Here is an 18,611-nt window from a genome sequence, read left to right as displayed (position 1 = left end):
ATGAAAGAAAATATTCTTTGAATGTCTGGTAGAATTCTGCTGTGAATCTGTCTGGTCCTCGGCTTTTTTTGTTGGTAATTTTAAAATTACCATTTCAATCTTGCTGCTTGTTTTATTGGTCTGCTTGGGGTATCTACTTCTTCCTGATTTAAGCTAGGAGGGTTGTATTTTTCCAGGAATTTATGCAACTCTTCTGGGTTTTCTAGTTTTTGTGCCAAAAGGTGTTCATAGTACCCTTGAATAATCTTTAATATTTCAGTGGTGTCAGTTGTAATATCCCCTGTTTCATTTCTTAGTGAGGTTATTTGGATTTCCTCTCTTCTTTTCTTGGTTAATCTTATAATGGTCTATCGATTTTGTTTATCTTTTCAAATAACCAACTTTTTGTTTTATTCATGTTTTGTATTTGTTGTTGTTGTTGTTGCTGTGTCAATTTCATTTAGTTCTGCTCTGATCTTGGTTATTTCCTTTGTTTGCTGGGATTGGGTTTGGCTTGTTCCTGCTTCTCCAGTTCTCTGAGATGTGAACTTAGATTGTCTGTCTGTGCTCTTTCATACTTTTTGACATAGGTGTTTAGGGCTACAAACTTTCCTCTTAGCACTGCCTTTGCTGTATCCCAGAGGTCTTGATTGGTTGTGTCATCCAGTTCAAAGAAATTTTTTCCATTTCCATCTTGATTTTGTTTTTCACCCAGTGCTCATTCAGGAGCAGGTTATTTAATTTCCATGTATTTGCATGGTTTTGAAGATTCCTTTTGGAGTTGATTTTCAGTTTTATTCCACTGTGATCTGAGACAGTGCATGGTACAATTTCAATTTTCTTAAATTTATTGAGACTTGTTTTATGGCCTATCATATGGTCTATCTTGGAAAAAATTCCATGTGCTGTTGCATGGAATGTGTATTCTGTGGTTGTTGGATGAAATGTTCTTATATATCTGTTAAGTCCATTTGTTCCAAAGTATAGTTTAAATCCAGTGTTTCTTTGTTGACTTTCTGTCTTGATGACCTGTCTAGTAATGTCAGTGGAGTAATGAAGTCCCCCACTATTATTGTGTTGCTGTCTATCTTATTTCTTATGTTTACTAGTGATTGTTTTATAAATTTGGGAGCTCCAGTGTTAGGTTCATGTATGTTTAGGATTGTCATGTTTTTCTGTTGAATGAGACCTTTACCATTATATACTGTCTGTCTTTGTCTCTTTTAGCTACTGTTGCTTTAAAGTTTGTTTTGTCTCATATGAGAATAGCTACCGCTGCTCGCTTTTGGTGTCCATTTGCATGAAATGCTTTTTTCTACCACTTTCCTTAAGTTTATGTAGGTCGTTATGTGTTAGGTGAGTCTCCTGAAGGCAGCAGATAGTTAGTTGGTGAGTTATTATCCATTCTGTGGTTCTGTATCTTGTAAGTGGAGCATTGAAGCCATTTACAACCAACATTAGTATTAAAAAGTGAGGTACCATTGCTTTCATCATGCTCTCTGTTGCCTCTGTACTTTGTTTTTGTTTTTTGTTTTTGCTTTTTAACTTGTATTTTTGTTTTATAGGTCTTGTGTGATGTATGCTTTAATGAAGTTCTGTTTTGATGTGTTTCCAGGGTTTGTTTCATGATTTAGAGCTCCTTTTAGCAGTTCTTACAGTGCTGGTTTGGTAATGGCAAATTCTGTCAGCATTTGTTTGTCTGAAAATGACTGTATCTTTCTTTCATATATGATGTTTAGTTTTGCTGGATACAGAATTCTTGGCTGATAATTGTTTTGTTTGAGGAGGCTGAAGAAAGGGCCCCAATCCCATCTAGCTTTTAAGGTTTCTGCTGCAAAATCTGCTGTTAGTTTGATAGGTTTTCCTTTATAGGTTACCTAGTGCTTCTGTCTCACAGCTCTTAAGATTCTTTCTTTTGTCTTAACTTTGGATAACCCAATGACAATGTGCCTAGGCTAAGATCTTTTTGTGATGAATTTCCCAGGTGTTATTTGTGCTTCTTGTATTTGGATGTCTAGGTCTCTCACAAGGCCACGGAAGTTTTCCTTGATTATTCCCCCAAATATGTTTTCCTAGCCTTTAGAATTCACTTCTCCCTCAGGTACACCAATTAGTCTTAGGTTTCATTGTCTTAGGCCCCACCACTGGGGCCGCTACACGTGACATGGGATGTGGGCCATCGGGCAAAGGGCGCGGAGATGGGGCGCTGCCAGGGGAGCCAAGGAGGAAAGAGAGCACTTTCCAAATTGTCTTCCAGGGTTTCAATGTGCATTTTATTAACTCAGAATCTGTCGGGAATAATACTAGGGAGCTACCTTTCCCTGGAGATGGGTCTTGTCAGTGGAGTGAGATAGGCTGGGGGGAGGAAGAGGAATGGGAGGCTCAGTTTATAAATATTAAGATCAGCAAGGGTGTGCTGCTGGCAGGAGCAGAGGGAGCCTGGAGATTTGGGTGGCTGCCGTTGGTAAGTGGTTGCAATCCAGAGAGTGGGATTGAGTTCCTCCCTTGTCATGTTAGCATCCCGTTTCCTGGGCGCGGGTCTAATGCCCTGCAGGTGGTCATTTCACTCATGGTGGCTTTGTCTCTCTTCTGCCATCTCCAGACTCAGCTTCGCACTCCAGGGCTGCGTACCACCAGCCACTGTCATGTTAACCCCTTCCCAGGCCAATGTGTCCTTGGTCTGGAGCCCAATCTGCTGGACAGCCTGGGACCGTCCATTTTCGGGGTGGTGGGCAACCTGGTGGCCATCGTGGTGCTGTGCAAGTCGCGCAAGGAGCAGAAGGAGACCACCTTCTACACAGTTATGCGGCTGGTTGCCACCGACCTGTTGTTCACTTTGCTGGTGAGCCAGGTGACCATCGCCATGTACATGAAGGGCGGGTAACCTGGGGGCCAGCTGCTGTGTGAGTACAGCATCTTCAGCTTGTTCTTCTTCAGTCAGTCCGGCCTCAGCATCGTCTGTGCCATGATATCTATACAGGTAATTTGTGTTAGACATTCTTAGAAGAGTTTCAAAAGTTTTATGTTTTTATCTGGGTTATAAACAGAGTCCTCAAATGCATACAAAGGAAATCATGCCATGATTGAATTTCAGCAGGAATAAGTTTATTTTACCTATTCAAAATTAAAATACTTTTGTTGTGTTTGAAAATGTGTTTTAAAGATATGTTTTTGAAAAAAGTTTAAGTAAATATTTAATCATGTCCCCTTTTCTATCCCAAGAAATAATTTCATATATAGTTTATTTAAATTTTTTAACAAAAATGTAGCATAATTTTTTTAAATTATATATTTTATTTAACCCAATATATATCCAAAATATTGGGTCAATATGTAATCAATATAAAAATTATTAGAGATAGTTTGCATTCTTTTTTCATATGAAATCTTTGAAATCCATTGTGTATTTTACATTTTAGGATGTCTCAACTCAAATGTGAAATTTTCATGGAGAATATTTGAACTGTATTTAGATTAATACAAATTGCAGTTAAAAAGTTTAATATAGATTTACCAGGGGGCGTGCAGCCCGCTTGCCAATCAGATCGCTGCTGAGCGGTCCCACAGCCAACCCCCGAAGAGCAGCCTGCTGGCTTCCCCAGTGCCCAGGAGTTGGGGATGTCCTACAAACCTACCACCCCTGCCCCCAGCAGCACCCCCGGCTTCAGCACCCCTGGGCCAGGCACTCGGGTCCCTACAGGAAGCGTCCCGTCGCCGTCGGGCTCAGGGCCGGGAGCCACTGCCCCTTGCAGACCGCTGTTTAAAGACTTTGGACCGCCTACCGTCGGTTGTGTGCAGGCCATGAAACCACCTGGTGCCCAGGGCTCCCAGAGCACCTACACAGAACTGCTGTTGGTCACAGGGGAGATGGGCAAAGGGATCCGGCCCACCTATGCTGGCAGCAAGAGCGCCGCGGAGCGCCTGAAGACAGGTATCATCCATCCCTAGTCAGAGTGCCTGGTGGAGACAGAGCGGAACGCCCACACTTAACAGGAAGCTCCTAGGCCTCTGTGTCTGGACTTCAGAGCACCTGCTTCTCCCTGGCCTTCATCCCTAGTTGCACTAACCATCCTGGGCTTCCTGTCCTGTGTCCCTTGATGGGTGCCCTCCAGGAACCAAGGGGCGGTTCTCACTGCAGGTGGCAGCACTAAGGACCCCCCTCCCCACCCCACCCCGCCAACGCAACAAGAGTTAGCAGCGAGGTCCCCGTGAGTCCCACCCATGACCTACAGACAGTGTTGCCCACTGGAACTTTCTGTGGCCCCCACCACTCAGCCCTTCCCAGCACTTGTCCAGAGCCTCTTTCTCCCTCAGCACAGCTCAGGCCTCAGGCCTGACACTTCCCTGCCTTGTGTCTTTTGCTAAATATGACCTTTCTATATTAATAAAAGATGCTTTGGAGTTGTGCTCTCTAAAAAAAAGTTTAATATAAAGGAGAAATAAAAGGAAATTTAGCAAAGAAATATGTAGATGAATATTTAAATACTCAGAGGTGACATTACTACCAGACATAATGAGATTATCAGATGTTTCATTTACTTATGATTAATATGTTTGTATTTATTTTTTATTCATTTTATTTTATTTATGTATTTATTTATTTTTATTATACTTTAAGTTCTAGGGTACATGTGCACAACGTGCAGGTTTGTTACATCTGTATACATGTGCTGTGTTGGTTTGCTGCACCCATTAACTTGTCATTTACATTAGGTATTTCTCCTAATGCTCTCCCTCCCCCAGCCCCCCACCCCATGACAGGCCCCAGTGTGTGATGTTCCCCTGCCTGTGTCCAAGTATTCTCATTGTTTAATTTCCACCTATGAGTGAGAATATGCAGTGTTTGGTTTTCTGACCTTGCGATAGTTTAAACAAACTAGGAAGTTCAGAAGTCACTTTACAAGAGAAATAAAGAAAAATAAAGTATTAATGACATTGGTAACAGAATAAAAATTAGAGTTAGACAAAGTATTAACAAGCAAGCTTATATATTTATAAGAGATGGGAAAATATTAGAAAGGAATAAATCATGTCTTGTCAACATGAAGAAAAAGTGTATTTTTTTTGTTAACTTATTATTGTGTTTCCTTGTATAATTTTCACTTGGTTTTGTTGGTTTTACTACTTGCTTCATTCTTTCAAAAACTACATCTTCATAGACCATTTCAGCTTTTGCTATGTGGGCAGAATTATAAAACCCAATTTCAAAATTTCAACTGAACGTTGTCAGCATTTTTCTTTGGGCTTTTTATTGAAAAAAAATCCTAATTGTGTGTGTGTGTATTTTAGTATGACCATGAATGTAATAACAATAAAATAAAACAAAAACAAATGGATATGCAATATGTTGGACTAGCATCTCAAATATGAAAAAGGCATTGCCAACAGTGATATAATTTTTTTTATAATGGTAAGCTTTTTAAAGTATAATCTTATTTTAACCTAAAATCTTACTATCAGAAAATGCAGTGTACATTAAAATGTTCTGAAATGCTTTATTCACATTTATTAAATGGTTGTACTCACTCAGATATCTACAAATTGGTTTTTCACTTATGTAATTATCTTATAGAATGTTCAAAAGTCATGCAGAATGTGAGATAATTTTCTATTGAATATGATTGTTTTATCATTGCAAGACATCAAACATCCCTGTTTCCTGCCAAATGAATGTACAATAGCAATAAATGTAAAGATGTGTTTTTTGGAAAAGACACATTTTTGAGTTATAAAACAAGGATTTTAAAACTTGAATTGTTACAGTGAGTATGTCTTAATATAGGCTACAGTCACTTTAGATAAAAAATTACCTCACATCTATTTTCAATATTACTTAAAGATGTTCATTTAGTGGCAAATATTTTTTTTTTTGCCTAGAGGCAGATATTTTGCCACATGGCTATTTATGAAACTGTATTTAAATGCATGTACACATATAAAAGCTGCCACTGTGGCTGTAAACTATTACAAGTTATCAAGATTAAAAAATAAACAAAAAATATTTCAGTTTTTCTATGAAATGTCTTTACTCGAGTCCAAATTTAGAGGTTTAAAATGCTTCAAATTAATAAAACCAAGTGTTTCACATATTTCAGTTGGAATGGCATTTGTCCTAGTTTTATTAGTGAAGCAGCAGACTGCATTTTTTCACTCTCATACACCTTCAAAAGATGGACAGAAAAATTTGATAAAACTTCTAGGGCATTATCTGATGAAACACATTAAACACTAAAGGAGATATACAACTTCATTGCTTGTAAAAGACATATAAGAAGGAAACCTACATACATATATCTATCAGTTTTGTATTTTCAGGAAATATTTGCTTTAAAGTGAGCTTCATAACAGTATGTGTTCTCCAACAAAGCCAAGGAAAGTGAGTTTGACACAAGGATCTGGAAGTCTACCTGTGTGGCATAATTACGTTGAATACATTCCACAAATAAGGCAGAAATGTATAGTAGAGTGTCCATTATAGAGGAACACTCAATAAATATTTAATAAAGTGCTTAAAATTTCTCATTATTGACCTGAACAATGAGTATACTTATTATGTTTGCCAGTGACAGATATTAAAAGTGGAGATTGAAGGAAAAATGATGTATAGAAGAGAGATTTTACCTTCAAAGTGACATAAATAATTTGAAGGAATTGAGGGAAGTGACTTGCTTAAATATCCATACAGTAAATATTTATTGTATGCTTACTGTGTGCACTGGGAATTAAGCAGTGAAAAAAATACAAAGGAAAACATCAACAACATCTCTTCTATCATGGAGCTTACATTCTACCAGTAAGAGAAAGACCATCAACAAATACATATGTAGTATAACATGACTATGAATGGTATGGAGAAAAATAAGAACAGTAAGGGGGATGCGGGGGCCTGGGGATTTATTTTATATAAGGTTAGACAACAAAGGCCTCATTACTAAGTAATTTTATGCAATCCTTTTTTCAATTTATTTATTTGTTGATTCCATAATACTTATTTATGTATTTATGTATTTTTGATTTATTTTTTATTTTTAGAATCAGGGTCTCACTCTGTCACCCAGGCTGAAGTGCAGGGGCGTGATCATAGTTCACTGTAACCTTACTCCTGGGCTCAATTGATCCTCCCATCTCAGCCTCCCAAGTATCTTGGTCTACAGGCACCTACCACCATGCTTGGCTAATTAAAAAAAAAAAAATTAGAGATGGGGTTGTGCTACGTTGCCCAGGCAGGTGTCAAAATCTTGGCCTCAAGCAATGCTCCTGCTTTGGCCTGTCTAAGCATTGGGATTATAGGCATGGGCCACCGTGCCTGGCCCTGTAATATGTATTTAGCATATACACTGTGATAGGCACAAGAAAGTCTCTGATAGTTCAGTAAAAAACTGCAATGATGTTTGCAACAGGTAATTAAGTTTGGCCACGATTCTTTTGAGTGTCATAACACTGTCCTAAGAAAAAGTCTATATTTCCACTTTACTGGGTGTGTGAAACTCAAACTCAAGGTTAAAAAGCTCTGATTTTTGGTTGAAATCATAATCCAACTAAAAGCCAGAAATGTGGAGCCATTTTTTTTATTTTAAGTGAATCATAAGCAGTCTTGTATTTAAGACAGATAAAATTATTGTACAGTATTATGTTTTCTGTACTTAAAATGAGAGAAAACCACGAGGGTTGTTAATGTTTGAAAAAAGAAGGCATCTATGAGGAAGCTTTATATTGGTAGAAAGTGTGAAAGGAAAATAAAATCTCAGGACCCCAAACTCACTATGACAAAGGAAAATTAAGCTTGGAACCTGAGTCATGCAAAAACTGCCATCCTTTTGTTCCCAAACAGCTGTAATTTCATATGCTTACTTTAACTTATGTAAAATGTAGATTTCCTGAGAGAGAAGATGAATGCACAACTGACTCCTTCCTCCTGTTTTTGCCACATGTAACATATAGATTCACTGAGCACTAATCAGAGCCTCACAAGAATGTAGCCATTAGCTTTCTTGCCTTCCCTCTCTCCTTCTTTTCCTCCCCTGTTTTAGTTTCCTGCCTGCTTCCTCTTTCTCCTTTAAATATTGAAGTTCCCAAAACCCTCTTTAGAAAAAGCACAGGACATCACCTACTTGTGACTTGTGACCCTTTTCCCAGGTGTATCCTCCACCTTGCAAAGCAAAATCTCTAAATCACTTGAGATCTGCCTCATTCACTTATTGGTTTACAAAAGGAAGTTGGAAAAAACCACTCTTCTTGCAATGCACAAATGACTGTTTTATAGTAACTTTATTGCCTATGCAATCAATCACATATTTGATATAATTATAGTATCAGATGATAAATGTAGATGTAAAAAATCTATCTGTAAAAGTGACTTTTCTTATTTCCCCTCTCTCCTTTTCTCCCCTACTGTGCTTTGAATTCTTTATTTTCATATTCACTTTGCTGGCTTCGGATCATTTCCAAACCTACTCTAATGGTAGCATGATAGCATCCAGTGAGTTTGTTGTTGTTGCTGTTGTGATAGGACCATAGACTTTCACATCTAGTTGTGATATCACATGCTCACATTGTCTAACTACTTCATTTTACAGTTGAAGAAATTGAGACACAAGGTAAGGTGACCTGCCCAGTTCCAATCTAGTTATATAATAAAAGAATGGCTAATATTTAATAAATAATATGAGTCAGGCACTGGGAAAATAAGGCACTTTTTTTTTTTTTTTGAGACAGAGTCTCCTTCTGTCGCACAGGCTGGAGTACAGTGGCGCGATCTCGACTCACTGCAAGCTCCGCCTCCCGTGTTCATGCCATTCTCCTGCCTCAGCCTCCCCAGTAGCTGGGACTACAGGCGCCCACCACCACGCCCGGCTAATTTTTTGCATTTTTAGTAGAGATGGGTTTTCACCTTGTTAGCCAGGATGGTCTCGATCACCTGACTTCGTGATCCTTCCGCCTCGGCCTCCCAAAGTGCTGGGATTATAGGCGTGAGCCATCGCGCCCAGCTAATTTTTTGCATTTTTAATAGAGATGGGGTTTCGCCGTGTTAGGCAGGATGGTCTCGATCCCCTGAACTCATGATCCGCCTGCCTCGGCCTCCCAAACTACTGGGATTATAGGCTTAAGCCACCGCGCCCGGCAGTAAGGCACTATTTTTATCTCTATTTAAAAATGTAGAAACTGAGCCAAAGAGAGGATATGGTATTTGCCTGGGATCATAGGATTAGTAAATGTCTGAGTTGGTATTTAAAGGCAGGCTTCCAGATTTCATAGCCCATCCACAATCGCATGCCACTCAAGTCTTCTGGCTCCGACTTCTCTGCAATTTACACAGCCCTACACTGCCTTCCTCCTAAACTCTCCAACCTCCTATTTTTTTCAGCTCTAAACTTTGATTCCCTAAACACAGCAGTCAGGGACAGGTGGAAGATTGTTGTGAAAAGAACAGGCAGCAGCATTACGGTTTAGCCTGTTTTTATATCTATTTTATTCTACAGATTAGTGTACTTTTCTCAATTATGCATACTTTTCCATTCTGCCAAAAATTTATTTTAAGGCTGTTAAAGCTGTAGTCAATTTTCTCACTTTGATCTTCCAAAGGAACCTGCCGTATCTTTTTCATTCTGTGCAAAATAGGCATTTTAGGATCCACTCAATGCTAAAGTCACTGAGTAGCTACAGACTTGCTATTTGTTTCTCCATTGTTATATTTTCATAGTTTTAGAATCTGAGCAGCATTTAATTTGTCTATGCTTTATATTTTCCTTTAGAGAAAGAACACAGTGATACTTGCTCATAGTGTTAGAGGAATAATCCCAAAGAGAGAAATTATTCTTCGAATATCCACCATGACTGAATACTTAGTAATACTGAAACCTACTTATAAAACAAAACAGAAAACCTCCAAAAAACCAAATAAACAACAAAAAAAACTTAAAACCAAAAAAGTACTGGAAGTCTCAGAAGTATTTAGCAGTTATTCTTGCTCCTTCAAATGAAAAGATGCTTTATCGTATCCTCTATGGAGAGAATTCTGACAGTATTTATCAAAGACCTTACATTTATTCACCTTTTGCCCTAAAAATTTCATAACTTAAAAATACATACAACAATTTATAATATAGCATTTTTTGTAAAGGGAAATAATCAGAAAGAGCCTAAGTGTTCAACAATAGGGCACTTGTTGAATTATGATACAATCACACAATAAGGTCTTCATAGAGCCCATTAAAATGATGTTATTGATATTTATTTATTAATAGGAGAAATCATTTAGAATTTTTGGTTAAGACCTTTAACTAAGCACAAAGTCTATGAAATAATGTGCACAACATTCCATATTTTCATAAGGGGAATGACTTTTAAAACTACCCTGCAATCATCTCATTTTACACAAATGTCTAGGCAGGTTTGTTACCCAGGTATATTGTGCCATGCTGAGGTTTGGGGTATGACTGATCTCATCATGCAGATACGAAGCTTAGTACCCTGTAGTTTTTCAACCCTGGCTGCCCTCCCTACTGCCTCTACTAGTCTCCATTGTCTATTATAGTCATCTTTTCTTTTTTTAAAAAAAATCTGTTTTTCTGATTTTTTTATTAGGTAAAAAATGGAAAAACAAAATATAATTTTCATTCAATACATATTTCATCTTTATGCGTTATTTTTTGAGAAAGTGAAGTCCATTTAGAATGATAGCAGTTCATCAACCAAATAATTCATCTTCACACAGTTTCAATTACTTCAGAAATTTTCTTCATCTCTCTCTCTGTAGAAATTCTCAAACTGTGGAATGGTCATCTTTATCGTCATAAATACTGTCATCTTTATGTCCAAGAGTATCCAACATTTAGCTACCAAACTACTACCCAAATCTGATTAATTGATCATGTTGATTCTGTCACATTCTACTTGTCATATCAGATTTTTATTAAAGAAATCATTAGCTTATCTATTATTGTTACTGGGGCTGTAAGAAAATTTTATAAGTCATTTGGATCAATCCTCTTCTTTATGGTCTTATTTGAGAATAAAACTTGGTTCTGTCTTAGCCTGTCATTGAATAAGCCAGTGATCTGGGGCAAATCTAACTGCTTCATCTGTAAACTATGAATGATAATAGAGTCCCTCTGCCTGTCACACATGGGTATAGTAAGGTTCCATTTTAAAAATAGCTCTTATTATGTTACCTGAAAGGCATTCTATAATGATGAGTGGCAAGGTGGTCTTAGCAACAGTGTGGTGAAAATTGGGACCATTTTCTGTCGCTATCATTTCTATTTTTGTGATACCCTCTTTAAATTAGTCTTAGGATGTAATTCAAAGGAGTGATGTAATTGGAATTTTCTTCTTTTTTTTTTTTTTTTTTTTTGAGACAGAGTTTCCCTCTGTCGCCCAGGTTGGAGTGCAGTGGCGCAATCTGGGCGCACCGCAAGCTCCGCCTCCTGGGTTCACGCCATTCTCCTGCCTCAGCCTTGTGAGTAGCTGAGACTACAGGCGCCCGCCACCGCACCTGGCTAATTTTTTGTATGTTTGGTTGAGACGGGGTTTCACCATGTTACCCAGGATGGCCTCGATCTCCTGACCTCATGATCCGCCCAGCTCGGCCTCCCAAAGTGCTGGGATTACAGGCGTGAACCACCGCGCCCGGCCCATAATTGGAAATGTTTGTACTGTTAGATCTAAGAGTATTTTATGTGGTATAATAAAAGATTAATTTAGTGAACCTCATTAGATAATTAGCATGGAATATATTATGCACTGCCATGCAGGGGCCTAAGAGAATGGTCCACACGTCTTGCGAAGTTGATATGAAGACAGGCAACAAGACAGTCTAGCTGAGTAAAAGTCTGTAGACATCTCTAAGGAGGAGTGGTTAGAGAATGCCCTGACGGTGGATAGCTGGCATATTTTACCCCAGAAAGAAGAGCACAGAGTGGCAGAGAGTACTTGAGATTTAAATAAGAAAAGAGGATGAAAAAATTACTTTCACTAATTATAAATTTTCTCAAGAATGGACTTATTCTCTATTTTCTATTGCCTCTTGAGAAATCATTATTTTGCATTCAGTCAACATGATTATTAAGACTAATTGTGGAGGGTGTTCAAAATGGAAAAACAGCGGTCCCTAGGATTATATTGTATTTATGAATGATCACTCATTTGTAACTTTTCCTTCAGTTAGATGTTTTTTAATGCAAAAATACCTTTTAAGCACCAGTACAATTTGTGAAACGAAATGTGAAATTCAGGCATATATGTAATTTTATGTGTAAAATATTCCCTTTTTTTCTGTTAATGAAGTAAGTATGTTTAACATGAGATATATCCTCTTAATAAATTTTTAACTGCTCAATAGAATCTTGTTAACTATAGGTGCTCTGTTGACAGCAGATCTCTAGAACTTATTCATCTGTTATAACTGAATTTTATACCCATCAAACAGCAACCCCCATTTCCCCTCCTTCAAGACCCTGGCAACCAGTATTCTACTCTGTTTCTAGGAGTTTAACTATTTTAGATACCTTACGTAAGTGGAATCAGGCAGTATTAAAACATACTTTCAATTAGTAATGACTATAATTCGGATAATTTAAATAAGAGAAAGCAAACATCACTACTACTAGCTTTTGGGGGAAAATATTACAAATAGGGATATTGTGATAAAAGTGTACAATATTTTTTATATTTGTGCACTTAGATCCGTGTTCAAACTTTGCCACCTATACATGTATAGCACATTTGAATATGTGCTACAGTATGCCATTTATAAAGACTGAAAATAACATTTTATAAAATATTATTATTTATTTGGCAACCTCATGAGCTTTGGCTTCAAAAATACCTGATTTACAAAGCATAATCCTAGTGCTGGAGAACAGATCAGTGGCTGCCAAAGGTTAGGGTTGGTTGGAAGATGTGATTAGTGAGGGATAACATGAAAACATGTACTTTCTTTGTGGTGATAGAGCAGTTCTGCATCCAGATTATGGTGATGGTTACATAAATCCGCACTTCATAGATCTATACACACACATCACACATACACTCACACACACCTACACAAGAGTACATGTAAAATCCTTAGAAATATGAATAGGGTCTGAACCTGAGTTAATGGTATGTAAACAATGTCAATTTCCTGATTTTGGCAATGTGCTAGGTTAAGTTATATATAATTATTGGGGAAAGTTGGCTGAAAATAACACGGTCATTCTTTTTACTATTTTTTAACTTCTTGTGAGTCAAATTATTTAAAAATAATTGGTATTAAACAAAGACAAAAAATCTAAAATTTCTAAAATCAAAGCCCTTATGAATTTGAACATATTATTTGATTTCTTTTGTAGACCTTGATTTCTTCACCTGTAAAAATGGAATGATAGTAGAATTTCTATCTCATTATTGTCATGCTTAAACCATAACATTTATGTAAGTGCCCAGTACTGTGTCTGGTGAACAATAATGCTTAAACACTGAGTTCCCCACTTTTTTGTGGCTGTTGGTTTTCAGGTGGTTTTTAAGTTCCTAAGTGGAAGTTTGTTTAAAAAGAGGCAGTCAAAATAAACAGCGATGTCTCAGAGCATCATCTGAACAAGAAAGGAAGGTGTTCTCCATCCCTTGAAGTGGTCTCAGTCCTCTTTTATTGTTTAGCTCTCATGTGAGTCTTCAGAAATAACCTCAAGAATTGCTACAACATCAACAGAGAATTAACTCTCATTGAGTTTTTAGCTCAGTAGATTCTGGGTCCTAAAATTTATGGACTCACCTGCTTTTTAAATTTTTCCCATTTAGAAATATTCAATTTAAATCTTCCTTCAGTAAGTAATTGTTAACTATTAACAATCCTAACATTATAATAAAGTCAGAAGTAACATTTATTACTTTTGTTTTCCACTCATACTGCTTGCAGTCCATAAGCATACAGCATTTTGGTCTTTCCAAATATCTAAAGGAAGATAATCAAAATCAAAACTAAGAAATCCTACTCTGAAGTCATATCTCTCTAACTAGATTGTATATTTATTGAGGGTGATGACTATATTTTCTTTTCCAGGAGAACAAAACAAATACAAGGTTGGGATGAAGTGAATTTAGTGGGGGATGGAGAGGGGAAGGAGTCAAGTTTCTTCATCCTTTTCCATGCTTTGATAACTTTATCTGTGAGATCCTAGTTAAAAGAACATGACTATCTAAAGAAGTAAGTGCTTGAAAGGCCCACTGTATTAGGAGATTAGGAATTGTTAGCTTGAAAAGACATAAATGGAAAGAAAACATAACATAGAGACAAAATACATGAAATTTTTATTGTGGTACACATGTGCTTTGTGATCATATTTCTGTGTCATAAACAAAAAAAAAGTATAAAGCTTAACCAAGAGAAATTTAGGGCACATAGAAGCATTTACGTGTTTTCATACTATGAGCTGGGGCTAAGGTGTCCTTTACCATGACAGTTGGTGAAGCATAAGAACAAATCAATTCACAAATGTTCTGGTAAATTCCAATTTCCGCATCTTAAATCATAGACCTAAGTCAGTCAAAGTCAGTCATATATATAGATATGTGTGTGTGTGTGTGTGTGTATATATATATATATATACAGGCACCTACATAAGTGGTATGATTTAAGCATGACAATAATGAGATAGGAATCATACTATTATTCCATTTTTACAGGTGAAGAAATCAAGGTCTATAAAAGAAATCAAATCATATGTCCAAATTCATATGGGCTTTGATTTTTGAACTTTCAAATTTTTGTCTTTGCTTAATACCTTTTGTTTTAAAACAATTTGACTCATAAGAAGTTAAAAAAAGAAGTAAAATGAATGACCATGCTATTTTCAGGCAACTTTCCCCAATGATTTTATCTAACTTAACCTAGTACGTTGCCAAAATCAGGAAATTGACATTGTTTCCATACCATTAACTCAGGTTCAGACCCTATTCATATTTCTAAGGATTTTACATGTACAGATGTGTTTGAATGTATGTGTGATGTGTGTGTATAGATCTATGAAGTGTGGATTTATGTAACCATTACCATTATCTGGATGCAGAACTGCTCTATCACCACAAACAAAGTACATGTTTTCACGTTATCCCTCACTGATCACATCTTCCAACCAACCCTAACCCTTGGCAGCTACTGTTCTGTTCTCCAGCTCTGGGATTATGCTATGTAATTCAGGTATTTTTGAAACCAAGCTTATGAGGTTGCTAAATAAATAATAATGTTTATAAACTATTATTTTCAGTCTTTATAAATGGCATACTGTAGCACATATTCCAATGTGCTATACATGTATAGGTGAGCCAAAGTTTGAACATGGATCTAAGTGCACAAACATAAAAAATATTGTACACTTTTATCATATCTCTATTTGTAATCTTTTTCCCCAAATACTAGTAGTAGTGATGTTTGCTTTCTCTTATTTAAACTATCAGAATCTTTAAACTTTCTCTTATTTAAACTATAGTCATTACTAATTGAAAGTATGTTTGAATACTGCCTGATTCCACTTACACAAGATAGATATATATATCAGTCATATCTATGTGTGTGTATATATTTATATATATGTCAGTCATATATATGTGTGTGTATATATTTATATATATATGTCAGTCATATATGTGTGTATATATTTATACATATCACATACCCACATATATAGACGGAGTTAGGTCTATGATCTCTGTATAAATTTATATACACACATATGTATTTTTAAACTATTACATGAAGCAAATAGTACAGTTGATTTCATATAACAAGACTTACTGGATGTATATGGGCAAAAGTTAATGCATATGGGCAAATAAATTGATGAACTTACAGACTCATTTATTTGACATATATTTATTGTGTGGTCTCTATTGAATGCTGGGTATCTTCCAGGAGCCTAAAATTCAGCAGTGAACGTAACAGGCTCAAATCCTTGTACTCAAGTAGCTAATATTCTAATCGAGGGAGAAGACAATAAACAAAGTTAATAAGCAAAATATTCAACATACTAGTTGATAGGAAGTTCTGTGGTGAAAAATAAAGTAAGAGGAAAAGAATGAGAGGAAGCTCTAAAAGCAACTGAAGATTTACATGAAGAAGCTGCCCAGGCATTGGCCCAGAGTGGGAGGAAGCGCCATGAGTTCAACAGGCAGGTCCCAGTTCAGTGGAAAGAAAAGGATTTCCAGGGCATGTTGGAGTGCCACAAAGAGGGCGAGGCCCTCCTCATCCTCAACCTGGTGACAGACTTGAAGCCCCAGATGCTGTTGGACACAGTGCCTTGTCTCCCCGCCTACATCCCCTACATGTGCATCCGGCTCGCGGACCAAACCAACGATGATCTCAAGGTGCACTCCCTGATGACCTCCACCACCAACGGCATTAAGAAAGTCCTGAAGAAGCACAGTGATGACTTTGAGATGACGTCATTCTTGTTATCCAACACCTGCCACCTTCTTCACTATCTGAAGCGGTACAGCGGGGATGAGGGCTTCATGACTCAGAATACTGCAAAGCACAACGAACACTGCCTTAAGAACTTTGACCTCACTGAATACCGTCAGGTACTGAGCGACCTTTCCATTCAGATCTACCAGCAGCTCTTTAAAATTGCCAAGGGTGTGTTACAGCCGATGATAGTTTCTGCCATGTTGGAAAATGAGAGCATTCAGGGTCTATCTGGTGTGAAGCCCACTGGCTCCCAGAAGCACTCCTCCAGCATGGCAGATGGGGATAACTCATACCACCTGTAAGCTATCATCTGCCAGATGAATGCCTTTCATACAGTCATGTGTGACCAGGGCTTGGACCCTGAGATCATCCTGCAGGTATTCAAACGGCTCTTCTACATGATCAACGCAGTGACTCTTAATGACCTGCTCCTGCGGAAGGACGTCTGCTCTTGGAGCACAGGCATGCAACTCAGGTACAATATAAGTTAGCTTGAGGAGTGGCTTTGGGGAAGAAATCTTCACCAGAGTGGAGTAGTTCAGACCATGGTACCTCTGGTCCAAGCGGCCCAGCTCCTGCAATTAAAGAAGAAAACCCAGGAGGATGCAGAGGCCATCTGCTCCCTGTGTGCCTCTCTCAGCACCCAGCAGATTGTCCAACTTTTAAACCTTTAGCCTCCCCTGAATGAATTTGAAGAACAGGTAACAGTGGCCTTTATACAAACGATCCAGGCACAACTACAAGAGCAGAATGACCCTCAGCAACTGCTATTAGATGCCAAGCACATGTTTCCTGTTTTGTTTCCATTTTATCCATCTTCCCTAACCATGGAGTGAATCCCAGCATGTCTCAATCTGGAGTTCCTCAATGAAGTAGATGCATGTTTAGTCTGATTCCCAATGTGAGCAAAAAGGAAGCATAGACAGTAAAGTAAATTCAAGGATCTGTTAAATCTGGTAAAAGTAGATCAAATCAGAGATCGACAGCCTGTGGAGAGTGCTGAACTATACAGAATTAGACACAACTATGGCATTATTTTTTGTACGTACTGCTCAGAATAAAAGCACTTGAAATGTGGAAGATTTTAAGTTTGATTTCAGTCCAACAAATATACATAATAATTTATAATAATTTATAGACACCAAGCAGTCCCCATAGCCATATAAAAGATGCCAATTCTATAAAATGAAGCTGCCGAGTTTTAATCTTTGCATATAACTGGAGAATGTCCAGATTAAAATACTAACTATATATAAGTCACATAAATTGCCTTCAAAGTGCTTTTAACAAATAATAGTACTAATAACCATGATAATGGCATATACTGACATTTCCCAAAGTTTGCAAACCATAGGTGTGGTAGAGTTTGTGGTGAGATGTGTTAAGAACAAAAATATGGGGATGAGACTTCTGAGAAATGTCCCCAAAATATTTTTTAATGGCTGATTATACAAAGACAGCAGTGTAACTGACCTCCAAACCAGACATTTTGAGTACTGGTTTCTGAAGAAAAATTAGAAGTGCCAGTCCTCAGTGTCCTCAAACGCTTTTGTGTAATCTTGGTTTAATGGAAGAGATGATTAAAATGCTGCTATCTGAAACTCCAAGTGAGAAAGATGAAAAATAATTTGTGTCTGATGCTAGTCCATACACTTTCCAAGTCCCACAAAGCTCTCACAAAAATGTATATAAGCTAAATATTACAAAATGATAACAACTTGTTTTATTTATAGATGTAAAAACCAAACAATGTGAAAGCTTTTAATCTCTTAATACCATTAAGCCTCCAGTAAGAGCCTCATATAATGCTCTACTATTCCAAACAACTGAATAGTAAAACAAACTAACCTCACACATCAGATTATCTGAAAAACCTTCAAAAATACTCAGTTCAGGGATTACTATTATACAAAAGTTTGGGGTTTTTTAAGAGAATAAAATGGCTTAGGTCAACTTTCCCCTTTCAGGTTATTTTCAACGTTTTTCAAACGTTGTAATTCAAAATTGTAAATATCTCTCCTATGAAATAAGGATTTTAAAAAAGAGTAATTCAGTAATATAACAGACGTAGATGTTTGCTGCTCTTAGAATTTTTTGTTTGTTTGTTTTTGGGCTCTTCAAAAGCAAGCATTCAGTTAGAAACCCATATTATTCTTTCCACACTTTTTTTATTATACTTAAATTTCTAGGG

General features: G+C 37.2%; 3 pseudogenes; all 3 read left to right on the top strand.

Moving 5' to 3' along the window:
* PTGER4P3 (prostaglandin E receptor 4 pseudogene 3) lies at positions 2,562-2,943 on the top strand (annotated as a pseudogene).
* Positions 3,518-4,391, top strand: CDK2AP2P3 (cyclin dependent kinase 2 associated protein 2 pseudogene 3; annotated as a pseudogene).
* On the top strand, positions 16,021-17,494 carry MYO5BP3 (myosin VB pseudogene 3; annotated as a pseudogene).

Source organism: Homo sapiens, chromosome 9 (assembly GCF_000001405.40).
Source record: "Homo sapiens chromosome 9, GRCh38.p14 Primary Assembly".
In the NCBI taxonomy this organism is placed as follows: Eukaryota; Metazoa; Chordata; class Mammalia; order Primates; family Hominidae; genus Homo; species Homo sapiens.
The sequence above is the reverse complement of the archived record's forward strand: the minus strand, read 5'-3'. Positions and strand labels throughout refer to the sequence as shown.